The 21,748-nt window shown below is 48.0% G+C and overlaps 1 long non-coding RNA gene across 2 annotated transcripts in view, besides 6 other annotated features; it reads right to left on the bottom strand.

The window, feature by feature from the left end:
* Positions 1 to 21,748, bottom strand: part of LOC124902153 (uncharacterized) — a 34,185-nt gene extending 12,437 nt beyond the window's left edge. Inside the window, exons 1-2 of one of the 2 annotated variants that reach the window (XR_007061478.1) lie at positions 17,374 to 21,748; positions 1,704 to 1,799 (exon numbers count right to left, since the gene is read on the bottom strand). This is a non-coding gene — a long non-coding RNA (uncharacterized LOC124902153). Of the gene's footprint in view, positions 1 to 1,703; positions 2,554 to 17,373 lie in introns of those variants that run through there. The other variant, XR_007061477.1, reaches the window with a different exon arrangement.
* Positions 1,475 to 1,524: a silencer, noted in NCBI's record as "silent region_19903". NCBI's record gives its function as "represses an Ori minimal core promoter by ATAC-STARR-seq in GM12878 lymphoblastoid cells {active_cell/tissue: GM12878}" and the evidence as "EXISTENCE:reporter gene assay evidence [ECO:0000049][PMID:35858748]".
* Positions 3,350 to 3,419: an enhancer, noted in NCBI's record as "active region_28387". NCBI's record gives its function as "activates an Ori minimal core promoter by ATAC-STARR-seq in GM12878 lymphoblastoid cells {active_cell/tissue: GM12878}" and the evidence as "EXISTENCE:reporter gene assay evidence [ECO:0000049][PMID:35858748]".
* Positions 5,495 to 5,744: an enhancer, noted in NCBI's record as "active region_28386". NCBI's record gives its function as "activates an Ori minimal core promoter by ATAC-STARR-seq in GM12878 lymphoblastoid cells {active_cell/tissue: GM12878}" and the evidence as "EXISTENCE:reporter gene assay evidence [ECO:0000049][PMID:35858748]".
* Positions 6,989 to 7,288: an enhancer, noted in NCBI's record as "active region_28385". NCBI's record gives its function as "activates an Ori minimal core promoter by ATAC-STARR-seq in GM12878 lymphoblastoid cells {active_cell/tissue: GM12878}" and the evidence as "EXISTENCE:reporter gene assay evidence [ECO:0000049][PMID:35858748]".
* Positions 8,915 to 9,024: an enhancer, noted in NCBI's record as "active region_28384". NCBI's record gives its function as "activates an Ori minimal core promoter by ATAC-STARR-seq in GM12878 lymphoblastoid cells {active_cell/tissue: GM12878}" and the evidence as "EXISTENCE:reporter gene assay evidence [ECO:0000049][PMID:35858748]".
* Positions 13,994 to 14,143: an enhancer, noted in NCBI's record as "active region_28383". NCBI's record gives its function as "activates an Ori minimal core promoter by ATAC-STARR-seq in GM12878 lymphoblastoid cells {active_cell/tissue: GM12878}" and the evidence as "EXISTENCE:reporter gene assay evidence [ECO:0000049][PMID:35858748]".

The following is a 21,748-nucleotide window of genomic DNA, read 5'->3' as shown; positions in this document are numbered from 1 at the left end:
GAATACACAGAGAGCACACAGCATGGGGTACTCAAGTATCAAATATTTGAAGTATTGGCTGCAAAAATTCACAAGAGTTATTTGTTTGGACCACCTCGATCCTCATGTTTTTCAATGTAAATAACAATAGAAAGATTGGCAGGCAGGTTGTTTTTCATTTTTCTTTTTTGTGTTTTTGAGACAGGGTCTGCTCTTGAATACACCAGCAGCCTTGAACAAGATGTTCACGGCGGCTCGATTGGTGGGGAGGGGGTTTGCCCAGATGTGCAACAGTAGGGAAGGCTGTGGAGGAAAGTAAGGAACTCCAGCTGCCTGCAGAGAATGTGACACTGCCATAAGACCAGGAGAGTGGCGGGGCCCCTGTGAGGCTCCAGAACTCAGCGCCTGCTCCCTCTTTCCTGGTGGAGGAGCATCCCTGCCCCGACAACACACACATCACACAGGAAGTGGGGCTTTTCCCTACAGAAAACCTGGCTTCAGACCTAGGTAGCTCTGGATAACCAGGACAGAATCACATCTGAGCTGGAACTGTCCCCATCTAACCCCACTGCTCCCCACACAGAGGGGACACTGAGGCCCAGTGGGGGATGACTTGTCCAGGGACACACGGCTGGCCCAGAACTTGGGTCCTGGCCTCTGTCTTGGGCCCTTCTCTGACCAGCTGCCTTTTCCACTTCCTTGCAGCTGGCAGGAGGTGCCTCCTTCTTTGTCCAGAAAGAAGAAAGAGTGGCTGCTTGGCCCGGGGGCTGTCAAAGGGCAAACCAGGTCAATGGTCCCACCCGGCCCACAGCGTCAGAGGTCCCCCACGAACGACTTGGCTGAGGCATCCCTCCAGGGGTGGGGATTGGCCCCTCCATCCTCATGGCAAGCATGCTAATAGGCCTCCTCCTATCACTGCCTCCTGTTTCTTGGATGGGATAAACTGTTTGGCCTTTGGACAAGATTACTTTTGCACCAAACAGGATTGTTATCACTTAATTGAAAATAATTATCCAATGCAAATTGAGTTCAACTTATCTAGCTGGAAATAAAGAAGTGAGTATTTTGGGTGGTTTCACTGCTGCAAAGGCAGGTATTTTAAGCAAATGAAAGTAACGAGATGCAGGCTGTGTTTTCTGCAGGAGGCCCTGGGAAATCTGGGGGCCTTTCTTGAGTTGGCCCCTATGGCCGGGAAGTCTGGGTCACCCCCTTGTCCACATCAGCGGTTGTTCTAATGAGTCTGTACTGGGGGAGAAGCTCTGACAGAGCCGGAGGCCGTGGGGGTGGCTGACTGTGGCAGGGGTGCCTATAATCCCACACTGTGGTTCTGTCCCTGTGGAGCTTATCTCTTCAGACACAGGCCCTGGCCTCCTCCAGAAACAAGAAAAAAGTGTAGGGGGAAGGAGAGAGTGCTCTTAATGTAGGTCTACTGTGGGTGGCCACGTCTCCTCCTCTGTGTCCTTTACCACAGGCACTGTGCCCTTCAACCATCCAGGTACCTGAGCCAAACCAAGTTCTCTGAGGCTCTCTCCGTCTTGCCCACTCACTCGACTGGCCGCTAACTCCATTTGCTTACTTAAGTATTTCTTGGCTTTGTTAATTTCTTTCCACGCCCACTGTATCAGTTGCCCATTGCTGCAGCAATACTGCGTAACAAACAGCCCCAGAATCTCAGTGGTCTGCAACAACAGGCGTTCCTTCTCAGGGCCTGCAGCTCTACTGACCTTGGCTGGGCTCACTCAGGGGTTGGCAAGCTGGTGGGCATCTCTGCTGTACGTGTCCCTCATCCTCCTAGGGTCCACGGCCAAGCTGGACAGGTTCTTCTCATGGTGATGGCAGATGCATGAGAGGAAAAGTAGAAATATGTAAGGTCTCTTACCATCAGCTCTCAGACCTGGTATCAAGACTCATCTGCCCCATTCCATTGATCAAAGTAAGTCACAAGACCAAGCCCAAAGTCTCATATAGCCAGAGTGTGGATGCAGGGAGGTGGAAGAATTGGGACTAAAATTCACACCTACTACTGCCACCACTGACCTTCCTGGGACCTCCAGTCCTGACGTCCCCACTGGAGTCCTCACCTCTGGTCTCAAACTCTCTGATCTATTCTCCATAGAGTAGTTAGTTTGCTCCTTCTAAAATGCAGACCTGAGCATATTACCTTTCAGCTTAAAAATCCTTACAATCCTTCTTTCATGTGGGGGTCTTATTCCTGTTTTCTGAGAATAATTGAAATTCAATTGTAAAATTACTCTTTTTAGCAATACCCTAAGGAGCCTATGAAAGATGCCAACAGTACAGTTATTGTGGTGGCCCCTCTAATTGAGTGGCTCTGGTTCTCCTTGTTTCTAGGGGCAGCCCTGGCTGTGCGTGCTCACACATGGCAATGCACGGGAGATCTGCAGCCCGGACAGGAGCTGGAGCACGTGGGAAGGACATGAGGCAAATGCTCAAGGACTCGAGAACAGCAGGCCCCAGTGGTGGGAGGGGCACCCTTTGAGCACTGTTACATGGGAAGGCCATGGCACGGCGCCAGGCTCATGGCAGGGACTTTATTCTCTTCCAAACTCCAACCATGAATCCACCCAGGTGTAAACCTTCTACAGTAAGCCAATTGTGCCTACTGAAGCTCTGTAGACAAGTGCTGCTCAAAATGTCACCTGCAGACCTGTGCTGCTCTGCAAACGCTTGGTTAGATGTCCATGAAGGGGAATAAGAAGCTCGCACTGGAATGTACGTTACTGTCACTCAGCGGGCTATTTAGTCCTGCTGACTTTTTCCACAGCAAGACTTTCTCAATAAAGGAAGCAGGTCACTGATTTACTCTCTGGGGCAAAAGCTGCTTAACTCATGGTAACAAAGTTTGTGGCCCAGCTACTTTCAGGCTGCTTCTGGGGACACTAACCTGAGGTGTCCAAGCATCTCTGAGTGGTACCCAGGGAAAATTATGAAGGCATTAGGCAAAAGCTAGTAGTTTAAAAAATCATAAACGCTATAATAATAAAAAATGAGAGGTTACCTCAATATAAAAAGAGATAAGTGGTTAAATAAGTTATATATGTCCTCTTAATGTAGTTGACAGCACTTATAAAATAAGAGGTTGAGGACTTTATAACGGGACGAAGAAAGGCTTAGGATATGACAGGAACTTACAACAGAAGTATGATATAAAATGGTGTGAGCAGCCCCCACGAACACGTAGAGAAGATATATGTGCTCACACTCACCTACTCGGAAGGAAATGCACAAAAATACAAATAGGGGATTTGTTAGGGTGACGTAATGATTAAGTTTTCTTTTCTTTTCTTTTTTTTTAATTTGAGACAGTGTCTCACTCTGTCGCCCAGGCTGGGGTGCAATGGCGCCATCTCAGCTCACTGCAACCTCTGCCTCCCAGGTTCAAGCGATTCTCCTGCCTCAGCCACCTGAGTGGCTGAGACTACAGGCGCCCGCCACCACGCCCGGCTAATTTTTTTCATATTTTTAGTAGAAACGGGGTTTCACCATGTTGGCCAGGCTGGTCTTGAATTCTTGACCTTAGGTCATCCACCTGCCTCGGCCTCCCAAAGTGCTGGGATTATGGCCATGAGCCACCTTGCCCAGCCTATTTTTCATACTTTTGGGATACAGTTCTGTTACTTTATAATGAAAACAATTGTACGCCTAGTAATAAAATATTTCCACCATCCATCCAGATGGTACCCTGTATTTCAGTGTTTCATTAGATTCCCACATTTATACATTAAACAGTCATTAATTCAGATACACAAATTCAGGGTTTATGATCACTCATACCCCTTCTTCCCTCCCTTCTTCTCTTTCTCCCTCCCTCCCCCCTTCCCTGCCTCCCTTTATCCTTTCCTTCTCTCCCTCCTTTCCTCCCTCCCTTCCTTCCTCCCTTCCTTCTCTCCCTGCCCTCCTTCTCTGCCTCCCTCCTTCCTTCCTTCTTCATTCAGTAAACCTTTAGGGAGCACTCCCTAAGTGCCGGTCCAGGCACTGCAGGGCAGCAGTGAGAAGCCATCACTCCCGGGCCTCACTGGAGGCAGCTGGGGCTCATCCTTGCACTCTCTGTAATTCATCTCACAAACATCTGCCCACTTTGCTCTGTGACCCAGCCTAGAGGACAGAGGCAGGTTCCCACTGTCCAGCAAGAGAGAAGACAGATGCATATCCAGGACACTTTTCATCTTCAGAAATATTGGCTAAGAGCTTAAAAACTTAATACATTCCTGTAACAAATTCAAACACTGCTTCATATGAAAGCAAAATCAACTTGCCAGAGATAAGCAAGAGGAGCAGTTTGGTGTGTATTCTTCCAGATTTCTTTCTATGAATATGCAAAGACATATTTCTTTATATAAACATTTATAAATTTATATTATGTAATATAGAATATATCAACATTTATATATTTATATTAGGTAATATAGAATATATAAATATAGGACAGGTGTGGTGGCTCACGCCTGTAATCCCAGCACTTTGGGAGGCTGAGGCAAGCAGATCACTTGAGGTCAGGAGTTCGAGACCAGCCTGGGCAACATGGTGAAACCCCGCCTCTACTAAAAATACAAAAAATTAGCCAGACGTGGTGGCCAACACCTGTAATCCTAGCTACTCAAGAGGCTGAGGCATGAGAATCGCTTGAACCAAGGAGACAGAGGTTGCAGTGAGCCGAGAGCGTGCCACTGTACTCCAGCCTGGGTGACAGAGAAAGACTCTGTCTCAAAAAAAAAAAAAAAAAAAAAAAATATATATATATATATATATATATATATATATAAATTTATTTATATGCTCTCTCTCTACATATGTATACACACATACATTCCCAAACATCTATATACGTGTCTTTATAAATCAGGCAGTTTTATTTTCATTTTTAAATAAAGTTCTGCAACTTTAGTGTTTGTTGTTCTGAAGCAAAGCATACAAATGTGTGAAGTGCTGGGAGCCACAGAGGACAGTGCCAGTGCCAGTGCCGGGATGAGGTGGCCCCGAGGGTGGGGTGACTGTGGCATCCTTACTGTACCCCTCGCTGGGACGGCATGGTCTCCCCCAAGGCTTCACTGAGGTGGCGCTGCAGCCGGCCGCTGACCATGACAGGATTTGGCTGGGCAGAGACGGGAGAAAGGGGTACCGGGGGAAGACAGGGCAGAGTGAAGGCCTCGGGTGGGAGAGGCGGCCGTGCCCTCGGTGGCGCATCCTGCACGTGGAAAGCCTCCCCGGATGGTGGATGGGCCAGTGGCGCCCAGACTCATGGCTTGATTCAGGCACATCCCTTTCTCCTGCCTTCCTTTGGAGGTCCCACGCAGTGGCCCAAAAGCATCCGGAACCAGCCACATTGTGGGGAGAGAAATAATCACTGGGGTCCCGATTCATCATGGAAACAAATGCTGTACTTGAACACTAAGGAGAGAGTTGCATTTGCAGAGTCCGTGTTGTTTATGCCGTGAGAAATGACTTCATAGGCTGAAGGGTGGGGCTGGATGGGGCTGGATGGGGCTGGCCGGGTCTCAGTGTCCTCTGCCTATTCATTGTCTAGGGGGCAAGCCAGCCACAAGTCCACTTCCACATTGACAACTGTTTTCAGAAGATGAGACGTCTTTACATGTGGGAATTTACCTAATGCTAATCTGGATAATTAAGAAAAACCCAGCCAAAATACCCCGAAAAGATTCAGAAGGAACTACTGCTGATCTTCGTAAACACAATGGCACATTTCTGTATCTTATTCAGATGGCACTCCCAAAATAACTGGTTCAAGGGCCTCCCGGGTGGCCGGTGGCAGGGGGCAGATGTCTTATGAGGTCCTGGTCCTGACAGCCCAGCCTCGGGCACAGACTAAGCTGCAGACACCCTCAAACCCTTGCATGCTTGGTCCATGGAGATTTAGCCACATTCCCTTCCCTTATGACTCTCTTCCCTTCTCTGGGTCTCAGTGTTGCCCTTTGTAAAATGAGGTGAGGGTGGGGGGCAAGAAAAGGCCATTACAAAACAAATCATAAAGTAAGGAAAAGAATCACCAAGAATCCTTTCCAATCTGATCTTATTTAAAAGCAAAAAACTCACTCTAGTCCCAGCTACTCGGGAGGCTGTAGGGGGAGGATTGCTTGAGCCCAGGAGCTCAAGGCCAGCCTGGGCAACGTAGCAAGACCCCATTTCTTCCTTTCCTCCCTTTTTCTTTCTTTTCTTTTCTTTTTTTTTTTTTTTGACAGAGCTTCACTCTTATCGCCCAGGCAGGAGTGCAGTGGTGTGATCTCAGCTCACTGCAACCTCCGCCTCCTGGGTTCAAGCAATTCTTCTGTCTCGGGCTCCCGAGCAGCTGGGATTACAGGCACCTGCCACCATGCCCGGTTAATTTTTTGTATTTTTAGTAGAGACAGGGTTTTGCCATGTTGGGTATGCTGGTCTCGAACTCCTGACCTCAGGTGATCTGCCCACCTCAGCCTCCCAAAGTGCTGGGATTACACGTGTGAGCCACCGCACCCGGCCTCAAGGCTCCATTTCTAAACACACGCACTCACAAAACAAAACGAAACAAAACCCAAGGGGAAACCAGATCAGCTAAGAACCCCTAAGCTGCCCTAGGTTCCAAGCCTCAACTCATGACCTTGTCCTGATATCCCCTCACTCTATCCCAGGACACTGTGTCTACCTACCTATGTATTTTACCTTCTCTCCTACACACACACACACACACACACACACACACACACACCCACATCCACAGAGTCTTGAGCTCTCCAGCTTGTGCCTTGGTTTACCCATCAATATTCTCACGTACAGTGACTTGGGACCTCAACCACATCATCTAGACTGTGGTACATCATATCTTCTCCCTTGTGCCCCAAGCTGGCATGGCTACCCGACCCCGCTTTGAGATCATCGACAGCACAGACCACCCTTGGTCAGCCATGCTGGGATCATTCCTGGAATCAGACAACTTCATCTGCAGTTGGGTGTCCCTGTCTCTGTCCTATCCATCTCCTCTCCCACCACAACCATGTTCCGACCCTGACCAGTGCTCTCAGCCTGGATGACTCCTCCACTGGCCTGCCTATGAGCCTTTGAACAAGCCTGTCTGAGATGCTTTTCCCCCCATTCATTCTGCTTTCATCTAAGAGCCACTTCCTTAGGGGAAGCCTGCCCAGATTCCACTCTTCCAACCCAAGTCAGAACTGAGCCGCCTGCCCCACCCCTAACCAGTCCCACAGACCCTGTACCAGCCCCAGCTGAATGCCATGGCCATCTGTGTACATACTAACTTCCAGCTCTTTTACACTGCCTTTTAAAACACTTAAAAAAAACTGACATTAACCTACATAAAGTACAATTACAACTCAATACATTTTTCTATATTTATACATCCTTGTATGGGTTTAGGATGCAGATGGGTAGGTCAAGGCACCAACTGTGAAGCTAAAGACTCTCTGTGGGTGTCCCCATATGTGTTGGAGAGGCAGGACTACCTATAGGTAACCTAGACATTGGGGGCAAAGAAAGTAGACACATACTCAAGTGTCCTGGTATGGGGTTAGGAGGTCTCAGGACGAGGGTCTTGATCTCCTAGATGAAGACACAGAACGTTTTCCGCACCCCAGAAGGTTCCCTTGTACCCCGTTCTGGTCTCCCCAAGGGAACTGCTATCCTGACTACTAACAGCACAGATTTAGTTTTGGCTGTTTTGAATTTTAGGGAAATGGAATCTTTTGTGTCTGACTTCTTTTCCCTGCAGCTCAATGTTTGTAAGATTCTTCCATGTTGTTGCAGGTGGTGTGGGATTCTGTTTTGTGAATACCTCAGAACTTACCTACCCATCCGCTTACTGAAGGGCATTTTCAATGCGTTTTTGCGTAGGTGAGAGATCATGCTGAAAGTGCAACTTTAAAAATCTTTTTTTTTTTTTTTTTTTTTTGAGATGAACTCTCATTCTATTGCCCAGGCTGGAGTGCAGTGGTGTGATCTTGGCTCACTGCAACCTCCACCTCCTGGGTTCAAGTGATTCTCCCACCTCAGCCTCCTGAGTAGCTGGGATTACAGGTGCCCACCACCACGCCCGGCTAATTTTTGTGTTTTTAATAGAGACGGGGTTTCACCATGTTGATCAGGCTGGTCTCGAACTCCTGACCTCAGGTGATCTGTCCACCTCAGTCTCCCAAAGTGCTGGGATTACAGGCATGAGCCACTGCGCCAGGCCTTCTATTGAGATTTTTTTAAGTCGGCCGGGCAAGGCGGCTCATGCCTATAATCCCAGCACTTTTGAGGCCGAGGTGGGTGGATCACCTTAGGTCAGGGGTTCAACACCAGCCTGGCCAAATGGTGAAAGCCTAGCCAAATGGTGAAACCCCGTCTATACTAAAAAAAAAAAAAAAAATTAGCTGGGCATGGTGGCACATGCCTGTAATCCCAGCTGAGGCATGAGAATGACTTGAACAGGAAGACAGAGGTTGCAGTGAGCCAAGATTGTGCCACTGCACTCCAGCCTGGATGATGGGAGTGAGACTGTCTCAAAAAAAAACAAACAAAAAAACAAAAAAAAAGACCTTGTTAGAAGACAAGGGAAGAGGCTAAAAAAATCTTGATAACTTAATGGCTTCTTCATGCTCTATTGAACTGACTGCTATCATTTACTTCTCCATTCTCTCATTGTCAAACATTTCCACTATCCATAATTATCAGGAATATTCTGTGAACATCTTAGTGGATCAGTATTTAAGGGGATCCTCATTAGTTGTTAGGGAAGAGTCCGAGAAGTGGCTGAAGAAGTAACCTTGTGAGAAGACTCTTTAGACATAAGACCAAAGTGCTGAAATGAAGCTTGCATTGGTTTGCAAGGGCTGCTACACCAAACTAACACTGAGTGACGTCATCCACAGATGTCTAAGACCAAAGCATCGGCAGGGTTGCTTTCCGCTGAGGCCTCCTCCTTGGCTTGCAGGTGGCTGCCCTCTGGCTGCCTCTTCATGTGGTCCCTGTGCACCCCTGGGTCTCTTTGTGTGTTCCGGTCTCCTCTTCTTATGTATTAAGAACACCTGTCAGATTGGACTGAGGCTCTCCATAGTGACCTCACGTTAACTTAATCACCCCTCTATAGGGCCAGCCTCAAATACAGTCACATTCTGAGGTACTGGGATTTAGTACTTCAACATATGAATTTTGGGGGAACATAATTTAGCCCATAACAGAACTCCTTCCTCAGAGGTTGGAAATGTCCCTTGGTGTCACCAGGCTTGGGTGTAGCCCTCTCGGTTCCTTCCAAAGCTGAGCTGTATTTTGGTGTGAAGACCTCTCTCTTTCAGCTTCACCCGTTTTCCTTTATCAGTTTCTCATCACTTCACTGTCAATCAATCCAGAAACTCTTAACCTTGGAAGCACATTGGAATCACGTGAGTGCTTAAGAGATAATTGTGGTGTCTGTGTCCCCATCCAACAGATTCCGATGCCATTGGTCTGGGGGTGCAGGCTGGGCACAGGAGACTTTAAATCTCAGGTGGGCCGGGCGCGGTGGCTCACGCCTGTAATCCCAGCACTTTGGGAAGCCGAGGTGGGTGGATCACGAGGTCAGGAGATCCAGACCATCCTGGCTAACGTGGCGAAACCCTGTCTCCACTAAAAATACAAAAAACTAGCCAGGAGTGGTGGCAGGCACCTGTAGTCCCAGCTACTTGTGAGGCTGAGGCAGGAGAATGGCATGAACCCAGGAGGCGGAGCTTGCAGTGAGCTGAGATCATGCCACTGCACTCCAACCTGGGCGACAGAGAGACTCCGTCTCAAAAAAAAAAAAAAAAAATCTCCTCAGGTGGTTCCAGTGGTTCCGAAGCAAACACCTCCAGTCTTTGATCTCTCTGTTCCTTGCCTTTTGTAAAGCATGAGACAGGGCACAGTGGCTGTTTAATTACTGTCTTCCAATATTCATTAAAGCTTCATATTCCAAAGCCTGTTCTTAACTCCTCTAAAGTTCATTTCAAAGCTTGGTGGTAATTTGGCTCTTTTGTTAAAATTAAGTCCTTAAAGTAAAAATTAAAAGACAAAATGGAAAACCACTGGGCATAGAAAATCCACCCTGGGTTTAATAGAACATCTTAAGTTGTGGACTAGAGTGAGACTCTTGCTGCTCAGTGCAGGCGGTGGGGGAGCTTGCTATACATTGTGCTCCTTGAGGCTTAGGTTCTGTGGAAGCTTTTACAAGAAGAGGATAAAAGCTAATTTTCATGAGAGCCCTGCTTCTGTGGTGGGGTGATTAGGAAACTATTGTGTTGAGTTTGGGCTCCTCCAAGTTAGCTCCCCAATTCTCAATGTTTGAAACAAAGCTTTAGAGTATTCTCCCCATGGGTGAATCTTACAGACTCACTGAGCTAAGGAAGTCAGAGACAAGAGTACCCACTGGATGATTCCATTTATATGAAGCTCAAGAATAGGTGAGGCACTCCTGTGTCCTTGCACGTGCTGCTCCTCCTGCTTGAGATGACCTTCCCAATCTTGCTCACCTGGAAAGTTGACTGTCCTTCATATCACAGCAGAAAGGCTGTTTCTCTACCTCTAGGATGGCCTCAGTCACATCCTTCACTTGTCACTATTCGTTTTGTTTTTTGGGACAAGGTCTTGCTCTGTCACCCAGGCTAGAGTGCAGTGGCATGAGTATGGCTCACTGCAGCCCTGACCTTCCAGGCTCAAGATGTCCTCCTACCTCAGCCTCTTGAGTAGCTGGGACTACAGGTATGGGCCACCATGCGTGCTTTTTTGTTTGTTTTTTAATAGATGGGGTCTATGTTGCCCTGGCTGATCTCCAACTCCTGGGCTCAAGTGATCCTCCCACCTTGGCCTCTCAAAGTGCTGGGATTACAGACGTGAACCACTGTGCCCAGCCTAGTGTTTGCTTATGTGTGTGTGTTTGCTATTAGGCACTGTGGTGCTTTCTTGGGGGAGCTACTGTCTCTGTATTTGCAGTGTCTGGCACAGTGCCAGGCACTGAGTAGGGCCCAAAACAAGAGATTTGTCACTGAATTGTGTTTATTCCTTTTTTTCTTTTATTTAAAAAAACTGAGACGGGGGTTTCACTATGTTGCCCAGGCTGGTCTTGAACTCCGGGGTTCAAACAATCCTCCCACCTCAGCCTTCCAAAGTGCTGGGATTATAGTCATGAGCCATTATGTCTGGCCAGAATTGTGTTAGTTTAGAATGGGAAATGGAGAGCTGTGACAAGACATTCTTCTGCTACAGCCATTCATTTGTTCATAATGATACTAAGCAAGACGGAGAAACATGTGATTCAAATGCCTCTTTGGGAAACACTCCCTTGTTTGGGATCTGCAGGCACAGGTATGGACAGTTCCCAACTCCAGAGCAGACAGTAGAATGGCTCTATAAAACAGAGGGATGAGAATTTGGGACCGAGGTGGGGCAGTGCTGGAACAATGGAGGGAATTGAGGGGGAGAGGACAGAGAGAGTGGGTAGGGGGAGCTGCAAGGACAGTGGGAAGCTATGCCCAGTGTCATGTAACCTGTCCTCGTAGCCCCAAATCTTCACTGAAACTCCTGAATCCCGTAAAACATTTGATGGGAGTGTATTTGTGTGTGTGTGCAAGTGTGAGCAAGCGTGTGCATGTGTTATTGTGTATGTGGCAGCATGTGTGGTGCAAGTGTGCATATGTGCATGTGTACATACTTGCGTGTGTATGAGTGTGAATATCGAGTGTGAGTACAGAACTGAGAGGAGTTCTGTGCTTCCTGCCTGGACTGTCTCAGGAGTGAAGCTGAGGCAGCATGCGGGCGTCATGAGGAAGTAAGCCTTGGTATCTCAGAAATCACACACCAGAGGGCTGGCGTCAAACCTCTGAGGGGCCAGGAGCTTCCAGCTGAACTGAGTCACACATTTCTGGAGCGCCCCTTTGGGAGAGCAGGTCCTGGCTGACAGGCAGGGCCTACCCACCACGTTGAGAAGCCTGAGTCTCCAAGGGAACGGTGTTCAGGACTGATTAGCAACATCTCCCCCGGGATTTGACAGGAGGTTTGCCCTTCCTGGCCTCTAATGGGTGCCAAGCAAAACGCTGGGCTTTTGGGATACAGAGATGAATCAGATACCTGCCCTCGAGGAGCTCCCAGGCTTCTGTGGGAGGCTGAGAACGTAAAGAGACAATGACAAGCCAGTAGCTAAGGGCTAGGATAAGGTGGTACTCAGAGGCTGGGGGGCAGAGCTGAGAGACACAGTGACGGTGCCTGCAGCAGAAGGGAAGGGAGTTTCCCCGTGGAATTTCTGACGGGGTTTGGGGAAACAGTAGGAGGGCATTTCCAGCAGGGCCCACAGCATGAGTAAATTTTCACAGAATAAAAAGGTAGGGGTGTCTTGGGGGTAGATCAAAAGGAGGTGTGGCAGGAGACGAGCAGGACAGGAAATCCGGGGTGATTGGGAACGGCCCTGAGTGCTGTCCCTAGGAGGGTAGTCCCTAATGGGGTCACCTTGGCCAGGTTTGCCCGTTCTCATCCTGGCAGGCCCTTGGGAGGGCAGACACCCTACAGGTGCAGCTCAGGCATCTCAGGACACCCCCACAGCTGGAGGGAGACTTTCTCTGCCCCTGTGCTCCTGCTGTGTTTGGAGCTGGAAGACCCAGTTCAGACTCTGCGGGACCCTGAGCCCTGTCTGAGCCCTGGTGTTGTGTATGTTGTGAGCCGCTGCAGGTGCAGGACAAAAGGCCACAGATAATTTGCATGGGATGGAGAACACATTTGCAGTTTCCTCCTCTCACAAATTGGAAATTTCACTTTCACAGCCTTTCTTTCCTCATCACAACCACACCAGTTTCTTCATAGCACCACAAGAGTCTGTTGTCACAGAGAAACCCCAGCTTTCCTCTGTGGTGTTTCTGCCTCACTGGCCTCTAGGGCTCCAAAAAGTTCAACACCCAACCATAGATGTCCCCTCCTTCAGGTCTCCTGCAAACCCTGCTCCCACGCCCTGGTTCCCCACCTTGTGGAAAGAGTCTCACACTGGGGTCGGGCCTGGGCAGTAGTCCTGGCTCTGCCCCCAACTCAGTATGGGATGCGAGGCTCTCTCTGGGCCTCAGTTTCCCCATAGGTACCAAGAGCATTCTAGACTTCATTATCTCTGAAAGTCCTCCAAGACAACAGTGACTTTCTGATCTTGAGAGTTTCTTTCTCTTGGGAACCCCAAGATAATCTATAGCACGTGCTGGGGTCTTGGCCCCTGGTGGCCTAGGAACTCGCTTCCTTCGGGCATCTTTTCTGTTTGCTCTGCTGCTGCTCCCCACTCCCTTCCCAGTTTCCTCCTGTCCTCAGGTCTAGTTCCTGCATCTCAGAGTTCATTTGCTCCCTGACGCATCGTAACTCCATGGGAGGTGTTATTTTAGAGGTGCTCAGTCCACGGTGCTAAAGGAGGGGATGGGAGTCGGCTTCCTGGCCCAGGAGGGAGGCCTCTTCTCCATCCAGCCCCTCACTCCCATGCCACAGCCCGGCTCATGCTATGCCCAGAGATTCTTGCAAATAGCTGAAGGTGCCTAGAAGTAACAAGGCTGTTGAAGCTCAATATTTAAACACATTTTTCACTCCCTCCTAACTTGATGAAGTTTGCAAATTGTTTTCTGTTGACAAAATGTGGCAGAGAGAGTGTGAGGGGGTTGAGGGGGCACCAAGGCCTGGGTCTGGCCATTATTCTGACTTGATGTATGACCACCGCAAGCCTTTTCTCAGTTCTTGCCTCAATTTCCCATCTGTGAAGTGAGGAGAGGAGGCAAAGTCGGGTGGGCTAGAGTGGACTAGACAGTCCTTTGGCCCTTTGCAGCTCTGACACCCACCAGAACTTCAAAAATCCTGCCATGGCCGAGACTCCCTTGCAAGATGTTGCTGTGTGCACAGCCTGGCTTGCAGATGGGAAGGGAGGGCTCGTGAAAAGACAAGAATCCTCTGGAGCATATAGGCAGGCTTCCACAGCCAGGTCTGCAGTGGGAAATCCAGAGTGACCCAGGAGGCCAAAGTTAATTGAGGAGATAAAACCAGAAAACTCCCCTGAGCAGCCAAGTGCAGGAAGGTTGTCAATGCAAATTAGCAGGAAGCGATGGTTAGTTGGGTGCAGGCACAGGAGACAGGTGGCTGGCGACCCATGACTTCTCCAGGATGATGGTGGGTCCTGCAGGCCCCCTGAGACTTGGTGTGGAAGATGAGGCAGGGTTGTGAAAGGAGGCTGAGGCGGAGGCGACTTTGACAAGCTCTCCTCCCAGGAAGGTTAACCAGGGTAGGCTGGCAGGCAAGAGGGCGCCAGTGGAGGAAAAGTGAGTGGGGCCTGCAGATGGCTTCCATCTCAGGGAGGTTCCCCGTTCTGCTCCAATCTCCACAGGCTCCCTGGTGGTGGAGAAGGGGTAGGGAGAGGAGCAAGGACTTTTCTGAAGGATGCAGTTAATTGTGAGGATCATTTCTAGTATCTGGGGTTATCGGAATTCATACAGGCTCGGAGGGAGGCTCTTCTCAGCCCCTGGTCCATGCTGGCTGGATGTTTGGATCTCCTTCACAGCACCATGTTAAGTGGCTCAGCTTTTTGTTGCTCGCCTCCGGGGACCAAGAGCTGTGTGTGTCCCAGGCAGCCTGTCCCACTGGTGGAAACTCCAGTCTGGAAGTGTTTCTTCGCACCAAGCCAAAGTCTGTGTCTCTACCTGTGGGCCTGACCTGACGTCAGTCCTCTCTTTCCTCCCCAAAATAGAGTGGTTTGCATCAGCATTCGGCACAATCTACCCATAGATATTCAGTCTGGTTATGTCTATGGTAAATTTTATGTAAAAAGCAGGAATAAATAATATAAAACTATAAGACACAAGAGTTACCTGGTAGGCCTGGTACCGGGTTCTAGGAATTCTAATTTGGCCAAGCTTCTGTGTCAGTTTGCCAGTCTGTGTCTCAGTTTCCATATTCAAGATAAAGACCACTGTGATGCCTAATTCTATATGTCAACTTGGCTAGGCTATGATGCCCAGTTGGTTGGTCAAATGCTAGTCTAGATGATGCTGGGAAGGTATTTCGTAGATGTGATTTATCAGCTGACTTGAAATAAAGGAGACTGACATTGATAATGTGGGTGGGCCTCATTCAATCAGATGAAGGCCTTAGGAGCAAAAGCTGAAGTTTCCCAAAGAAGGAATTCTGCCTTAAGACAGAAATCCTGCCTCAGCTGCCTGCCCTACAGATCTTAGACTGGCTAGCCTACACAACTGTGCAAGCTTGAATAAATCTCTACTATTGGTTCTGTTTCTCGAGAGAACCCTGACCGATGTAACCACCTACCATGTCTGTTCATGTCTTTTAATTCCTTGGAAAGAAAAGCAATTTATGAGTACTAATATTACAAAAGTGCTAATTGCTAATTTGTGCAGTGCTGTGTTAATCTAAAACACATCTCCACACAAGTGACTCATCTCCCCTAGTCAAAATCTTCGATGGTTCTCCGCTGCCACCACTGCCATTGTGTCAGCTGCCTTTTTTTTTTTTTTTGAGATGGAGTCTCGCTCTGTCGCCCAGACTGGAGTGCAGTGGTGCGACCTCAGCTCACTGCAAGCTCTGCCTCCCAGGTTCACACCATTCTCCTTCCTCGGCCTCCCAAGTAGCTGGGACTACAGGCGTCCACCACCACGTGTGGCTAATTTTTTTGTATTTTCAGTAGAGACGGGGTTTCACCGTAGTAGCCAGGACAGTCTTGATCTCCTGACCTCGTGATCCACCCACCTCAGCCTCCCAAAGTGCTGGGATTACAGGTGTGAGCCACTGCGCCCAGCCTGTGTCAGCTGCTTTTTACAAAGCATTATGCAAGTAGTTAATGACTAATATATACATATCTAATATATATACATCTAATGCAGAACTTTTTTTTTTTTTTGAGATGGTCTCCTTCTGTTGCCCAGGCTGGAGCACAGTGGTGTAATCACAGCTCACCACAGCCTTGTTCTCCTGGGCTCAAGCGATCCTCCCACCTCAGCCTCCTAAGCAGCTAGGGCCACAGGTGCACGCCACCACTCCCAGCTAAGTTTTAGAATTTTTGTAGAGATTGGGGTCTTGCCATGTTGCCCAGACTCGTCTCAAACTCCTGGCTCAGGTGATTCTCCCACCTTAGCATCCCAAAGTGCCGGAATCATAGCCATTATCTGGAACCAGAAGACTACCAGAAGAAGGGCTGAGCCCAACACGAAGAGCTGGAGAGATGGGTGAAGAGGGCTATGCACTGTGCCTGGCCTCACTTTAATTCTTGCAAGAGACAGAGATATTATCTTCATTTTATAGATGAGGAAAATGAAACCACACTCTTTAGCTTGAAATTCAGACTTCAGTGATCTGGTTCATTTACCTCCCTCTATTACCCTCATGTGAACTAGAGTCAAGGGAAATTATACTAGACCTTCTTACTTAAGTGTGTCCTAGGTTATCCTACATCCAGGCTGTTGCCTATATTTGTCTTCCTCCTGAGAGGCATTTCCTCTTATCCTAATTATTAGTCTTCTTTATGCTTCAAGAGCTAATTCCAATGCCATCTCCTCTGTGAAGTTTTCCTGGGTCTCCACCACCAGTGACACTAGAAGTGACCTCTCTCCACACACATAGACCCACATGAATGCCTCTTTGTAACTTAAGTTACACTGGTCTTGTTTCAGGGCTTCTCTTTCCTATCTTAAAATGGAAGCTTTCTGAGGGTAGGAAAGAAGTCTGAGAGAGTATGACAGACGAGAACACTGAAATCCATGCAGTTTCTTTCTAAAGCAGTGAATTTTGATTCAAAACACAAATAGGCCTCCTGGACTAAACCTTTTTTATTTTATTTTATTTTATTTTGAGACAGGTTCTCATTCTGGTGCCCAGGCTGCAGTCAAGTGGCGTGATCCTGGCTCACTGCAACCTCTGCCTCCCAAGCTCAAACGATCCTCCTGCTTTAGCCTCCTGAGTGGCTGAGACTACAGGTGTGTGCCACTACAACAGGCTAATTTTTTTTTTTTTTTTTGGTAGAGACATGTTGGCCAGGCTGGTCTCAAACTCCTGGGCTCAAGTGATCCACCTGCCTTGGCCTCCCAAAGTGCTGGGATAACAGGTGTGAGCCACTGTACCTGGCCTAAACTTCTCTAAGAAATTGTATCTATGGTTTTTTGAAAGACCAGGGTTGTTTTTCTCTGGCATTATTTTGGTGGACTTTTATTTTCTCTGGTCTTATCTTCCATTTGAATGACAGGCCCTCTATTGATAATTTAGAAAGCTTACATCTTGTTTCATCTGCCTGAGATTTGACAGAGCGTAAGGGCAAGCAACACCAGCAAGCTCTGTAACCCCCAAAGCCTATAATGCGAGCCCCACATTCACTTCCCCCCTCTCCACCCTTGAAGCCACATTTCCAAAGGAGCCACTGCAAACCTTTCCATTTGGAAGTGCAGTCTTCCAGTCCAGCTGACTAAGTTGTCCAGTTAGTTTTGGTTGTCTCCATTTCGGTAACATCATGCAGAGGACAGTGCTGGGGACCAGTGAGTTGAATCCATTTACTTAAGTCTAACTGTGTTAGGCCCCATGCTGGGCCCTGTGAGAAAGAATAAAGATGACATGGCCTTTATCCTTTCTATCAACAGATATTTGAACCCTTACACACCAGGAGCCATACTCTTTGGAGCACTTAACTCACCTGTACAGTGTCTATCTTCTCTGAAGGCTTAGAAGCCCCAGGAGGGCATAGATAACACCTGTCTGGTTCACTGCGGTACCTCGAGTTCAGAAAGTGCCTGGCACATAACAGGTATTTCAAAAATATCTGTAGTGGAACTGAAGGGGTTTCCATCTGTCTCACCAACTAGAGAAAAAGCCACAGCTCCTTAAGGGTAGAAAGTCCTAGATGTCAGCACAGGACCTGGCTCAGGTCAGATGCTCAGCAAGTGTTTACTGAGTTAGCTGAATGGCCCCATGTTCTGTGGAGGTCCAGCATGGGTCACCCCGACCAGCGCACAGGTTGTGGTGTGAACTCTGGGTTCTTCGTGGGTTCTCATTTGCCTCTGGCTTTTGCTGGGAACTGCGGGCTTTTGCTGTCGTATGTGACTCCCTTTCCTTACTTGTGACTTAAGAGATTAAACTATTAATGGTGTGGAAGCTAAAAACAGACCCGTCTCCAGGAGGGTGCCACAGAATTTTTTTTTTTTTTTTTTTTTGAGACCAGGTCTCACTGTCACCCAGGCTGGAGTGCAGTGGTGCAATCATAGCTCACTGCAGGGGCTCAGGAAATCCTCCCATCTCGGCCTCCCAAGTAGTTGGGAATATAGGTGTGCAAAACCACACCTGGCTAATTTTTTAAATTTTTTTGTAGAGATGGGGTCTCACCATGTTGCCCAGGCTGGTCTCAAATTCTTGAGCTCAAGTAATCCTCCCACCTCAGCCTCCCAGTGTTGGGATCATAGGCATGAGCCACCGTGCCTGGCCTTATTTCTTATTTCTAATTTATTTTAATTTTTTTTTGTAGAGACAAGGTCTCCCTATGTTGCCCCGGCTGGTCTTGAACTCCTGGGCTCAAGTGATCCTCCTGCCTCGGCCTCCCAAAGTGTTGGGATTACAGGCGTGAGCCACTGCGCCTGGCCAGAACAGCCACTTCTAAGCACTTAAGGCTAGGTGTATGCTCACAAAGGGATGGTGAGGGGATAAAACTGATTTTCCCATCAAAACAGTATCAAATCGAGGGATATGTTCATTATCAAGAGCATGATACCTAAAAATGATCACAACCAACCATCATGGCCTGCTTATATAGTCTCTAGACTGTGCACAAGCCACATCTACATGACTGGTTGGGCAGAGAGTGGCTCATGGGGCCACATGGAATCAGAAGACTACCAGAAGAAGGGCGGAGCCCAACACGAAGAGCTGGAGAGATGGGTGAAGAGGGCTATGCACACAGCAAGGAGATTCTCAGAAGCTGGGTCATGGGAAGGCAACCAGGGTGATGCTTACAGCAAGGGCTCACCTTGCTTACCTGGATACAATGGGGCAGAGCTGGGGAGGCTGGGGACTTGCTGTGTGGCTGTTAGACTGAGGGGTGCCCACAGGGAGGCAGTGCTGCACACTGGCCATCAAGGATTATTCTTGAGTGATGCCAAGGGCTACCAACTACCATTAGAACCACAGAATACCAGAGTTGGGAGGTAATGAGAACCCATCCAGGCTAATCCTACCACTTCCAACTTTATAATGAGAAAGCTACGGCCCAGATAGGAGGTCTCAAGTTGTTAGAGCTTCGGGCCCTCTCAAAATGGCATGATTCCTTATGAGAGCATCTGATTAGTAACATGTGTACACTGTTTTACGTAAGACTGAGCTATGTTTGGTAGACGTACTTGGGGGGCATATGTGGACATTTATAAGGATTATTCACTAGTGTGTGCAGGACTGAACTCCTTGAAGAACATAACTCTGGGCAGGAAGGACATGAATCTGGTTTTCCCACAGGAAATCCTTTCTTCACATGTGTACTCATTGTCTCCCCTCACTTGGGCAGCCACAGGGCACTTCCAGAGAGGCTCCAACCTCCCCTGGCTCCCTAACACCATCCTAGTGGCCAAGAGGCTCTCCTTTTCTATTCCCTTTGGGGGTCCTTCCAAGTCTCCCTATGCCCCGCACACCTATTCCATTGTTCTTGGAAAAAGCTTCTCCATCAAGGAGGAGGATACCATCTCCTTACCCTGCTCGCCCGTCTCCATTGGCTTGTCCCTCTGGATCCATCCCTTCCCACTTCCTTGATGTGAGTGCCATAAGTTGAGTTTTATTTCTCCAGCATCCCTCTCTCTTTCGGCAGCTTCCTGTCAATGTCAGCCTCACTCCAGCCAGTGTTCTGTACTGTCAGCCTTTCACAGGCAAGGGTTTAAAGAGACAGACACCCTCCTCTTCGTAGCTGCTCATTCCCTCCTCAATGCACTGCAATCTAGTTTCTTGGCTCACTGCTATCCTGGAACTCCTTTGGCAGAGGTCTGCCACTAAACCTGATAGGTGTTTTCCAGTTCATGCTTTTGTCCAACACACATTTCACAAACTGAAGTATAAGGACATATGTAAGATGAGAAATTATCACTAATTTAAAAGTCTTGAGGAAGGTATAAATCAGAATGGAAAGTCGGACAGAGGAAAAAAAGAACATATGGAAGACCGAATCCCCCGATAAAAGCTTGGAATAAAAACAAAAGTGCAACTAGGCAAAGCAATTCTTATAGTTTTTGAGGTAGGAGTGGGTTGAATAATGTTCCTCCAAAAGATATGTCCAAATCTTAATCCCTGACACCTGTGAATGTGACCTTATTTGGAAATAGGGTCTTCAGAGAGTAATTAAGGATCTTGGGATAAAATTGCCCTAGATAATTTTAGTGTGGGCCAGAAAGCCAAGACACAAGGAGACACAGAAGAGAACCCTATGTGAAGACAGAGGCAGAGACTGGACTTATACAAGCCAAGGAATGCCAAGGATTGCTCAGGCCCACCAAAAGGTAGGAGAGACATGGAAGGAATTATCTCAGCACAACAAGAAGAAACCAACTCTGCTGACACCTTGATTTTGAACTTCTGGCCTCCAGAACTGTAAGAGAACAAATTTCTGTTGTTTCAGGCCACCACTTTGTGGTATTTTGGGACAGTAGCTCCAGGCAACGAATACAGAGTGCATCCTTGCTGTTTCACAGCTCCACGCCTCACACACATGGTTCATGCTCCTCCCCTTTTGTTAAGCTGCAACACTTTTCTTCTGTTATAATGACCCATCGGGAAGTCCTGCCCAGTCTCCCCTCTCTGTAGCAGGACCAATCATGCTTCTTTGGTGTTACCATCATACCCGTATCTCTCACTGCACTCCTCACCTCTAAGACAAAATACTGGTTTTCGTGTTTGTCTCTTGCTTGTTAGCCCTTGAGGCTTGAGATTTCTCCACAGCAAGCACAGGCTATGGACTTTCTTTGCGTCAGGTAGTATTCAAGCAAGAATACTACCTGACGCAAAGAAAGTCCATAGCCTCTGTTTGCTGAATAAATCACTCAGATGACAACAGAAACACCAAAGAGGGAAGGATTAATATTGTCTGGGAGTGGTCATAAAAGGGGAAGAGGATATTTTGGGTAGAGGTAATAGCACAGGTAAAGGCATGGAGGAGAAGCATGACCTATTCAGGAATTAGTCATTCATGTGGTGGGACGGGAAGGGTGAAGGGGATAGAGGAGAAAGAAGAGCGAAGAACTGCAGAAGATGAAGCATGAAAGGCTTTGAATTTTAGGCCAGAAGTTAGACTTCAGCCTGTAGACAGTAGTTTCCGAACGTTGTGCATGTAGTTATCACCAGCATGCCTCTTAGATAAAGGTCCTACTCACAGGCTTAAGAGGTCAGTGACCTCTCCCTGCAAGGCCCCTGCAGGTGGATACTTGCCTTATGATCAAGTCTTCTTGGCCCCATATGGACAAAGCAGGAAGTAAAACTGAAGATAGCCTATGGACTACTGAGCCTAACTCACCCAGTTTAATAAGAACAGTCCCAATTCAGTGAAAAAATATTAAAATGTTTCCAATGGATTACCTGTGTGAAACTAGACTTTGTCATATGTACACACCTGCAAAACGATCACAAGATAATAAACATACAGTTGGTCTATGGTATCCTAGGGTTCTACATCCATGGATTCAACCAACTGCAGATCAACAATATTTTAGTCAGGGAGTGGTGACTTATGCCTGTAATCCCAGCACTTTGGGAGACCAAGGCAGGTGAACTGCTTGGGCCCAGG

Source organism: Homo sapiens, chromosome 9 (genome assembly GCF_000001405.40).
Source record: "Homo sapiens chromosome 9, GRCh38.p14 Primary Assembly".
In the NCBI taxonomy this organism is placed as follows: domain Eukaryota; kingdom Metazoa; phylum Chordata; class Mammalia; order Primates; family Hominidae; genus Homo; species Homo sapiens.
This window is presented reverse-complemented; position numbering and strand designations above follow the sequence as displayed.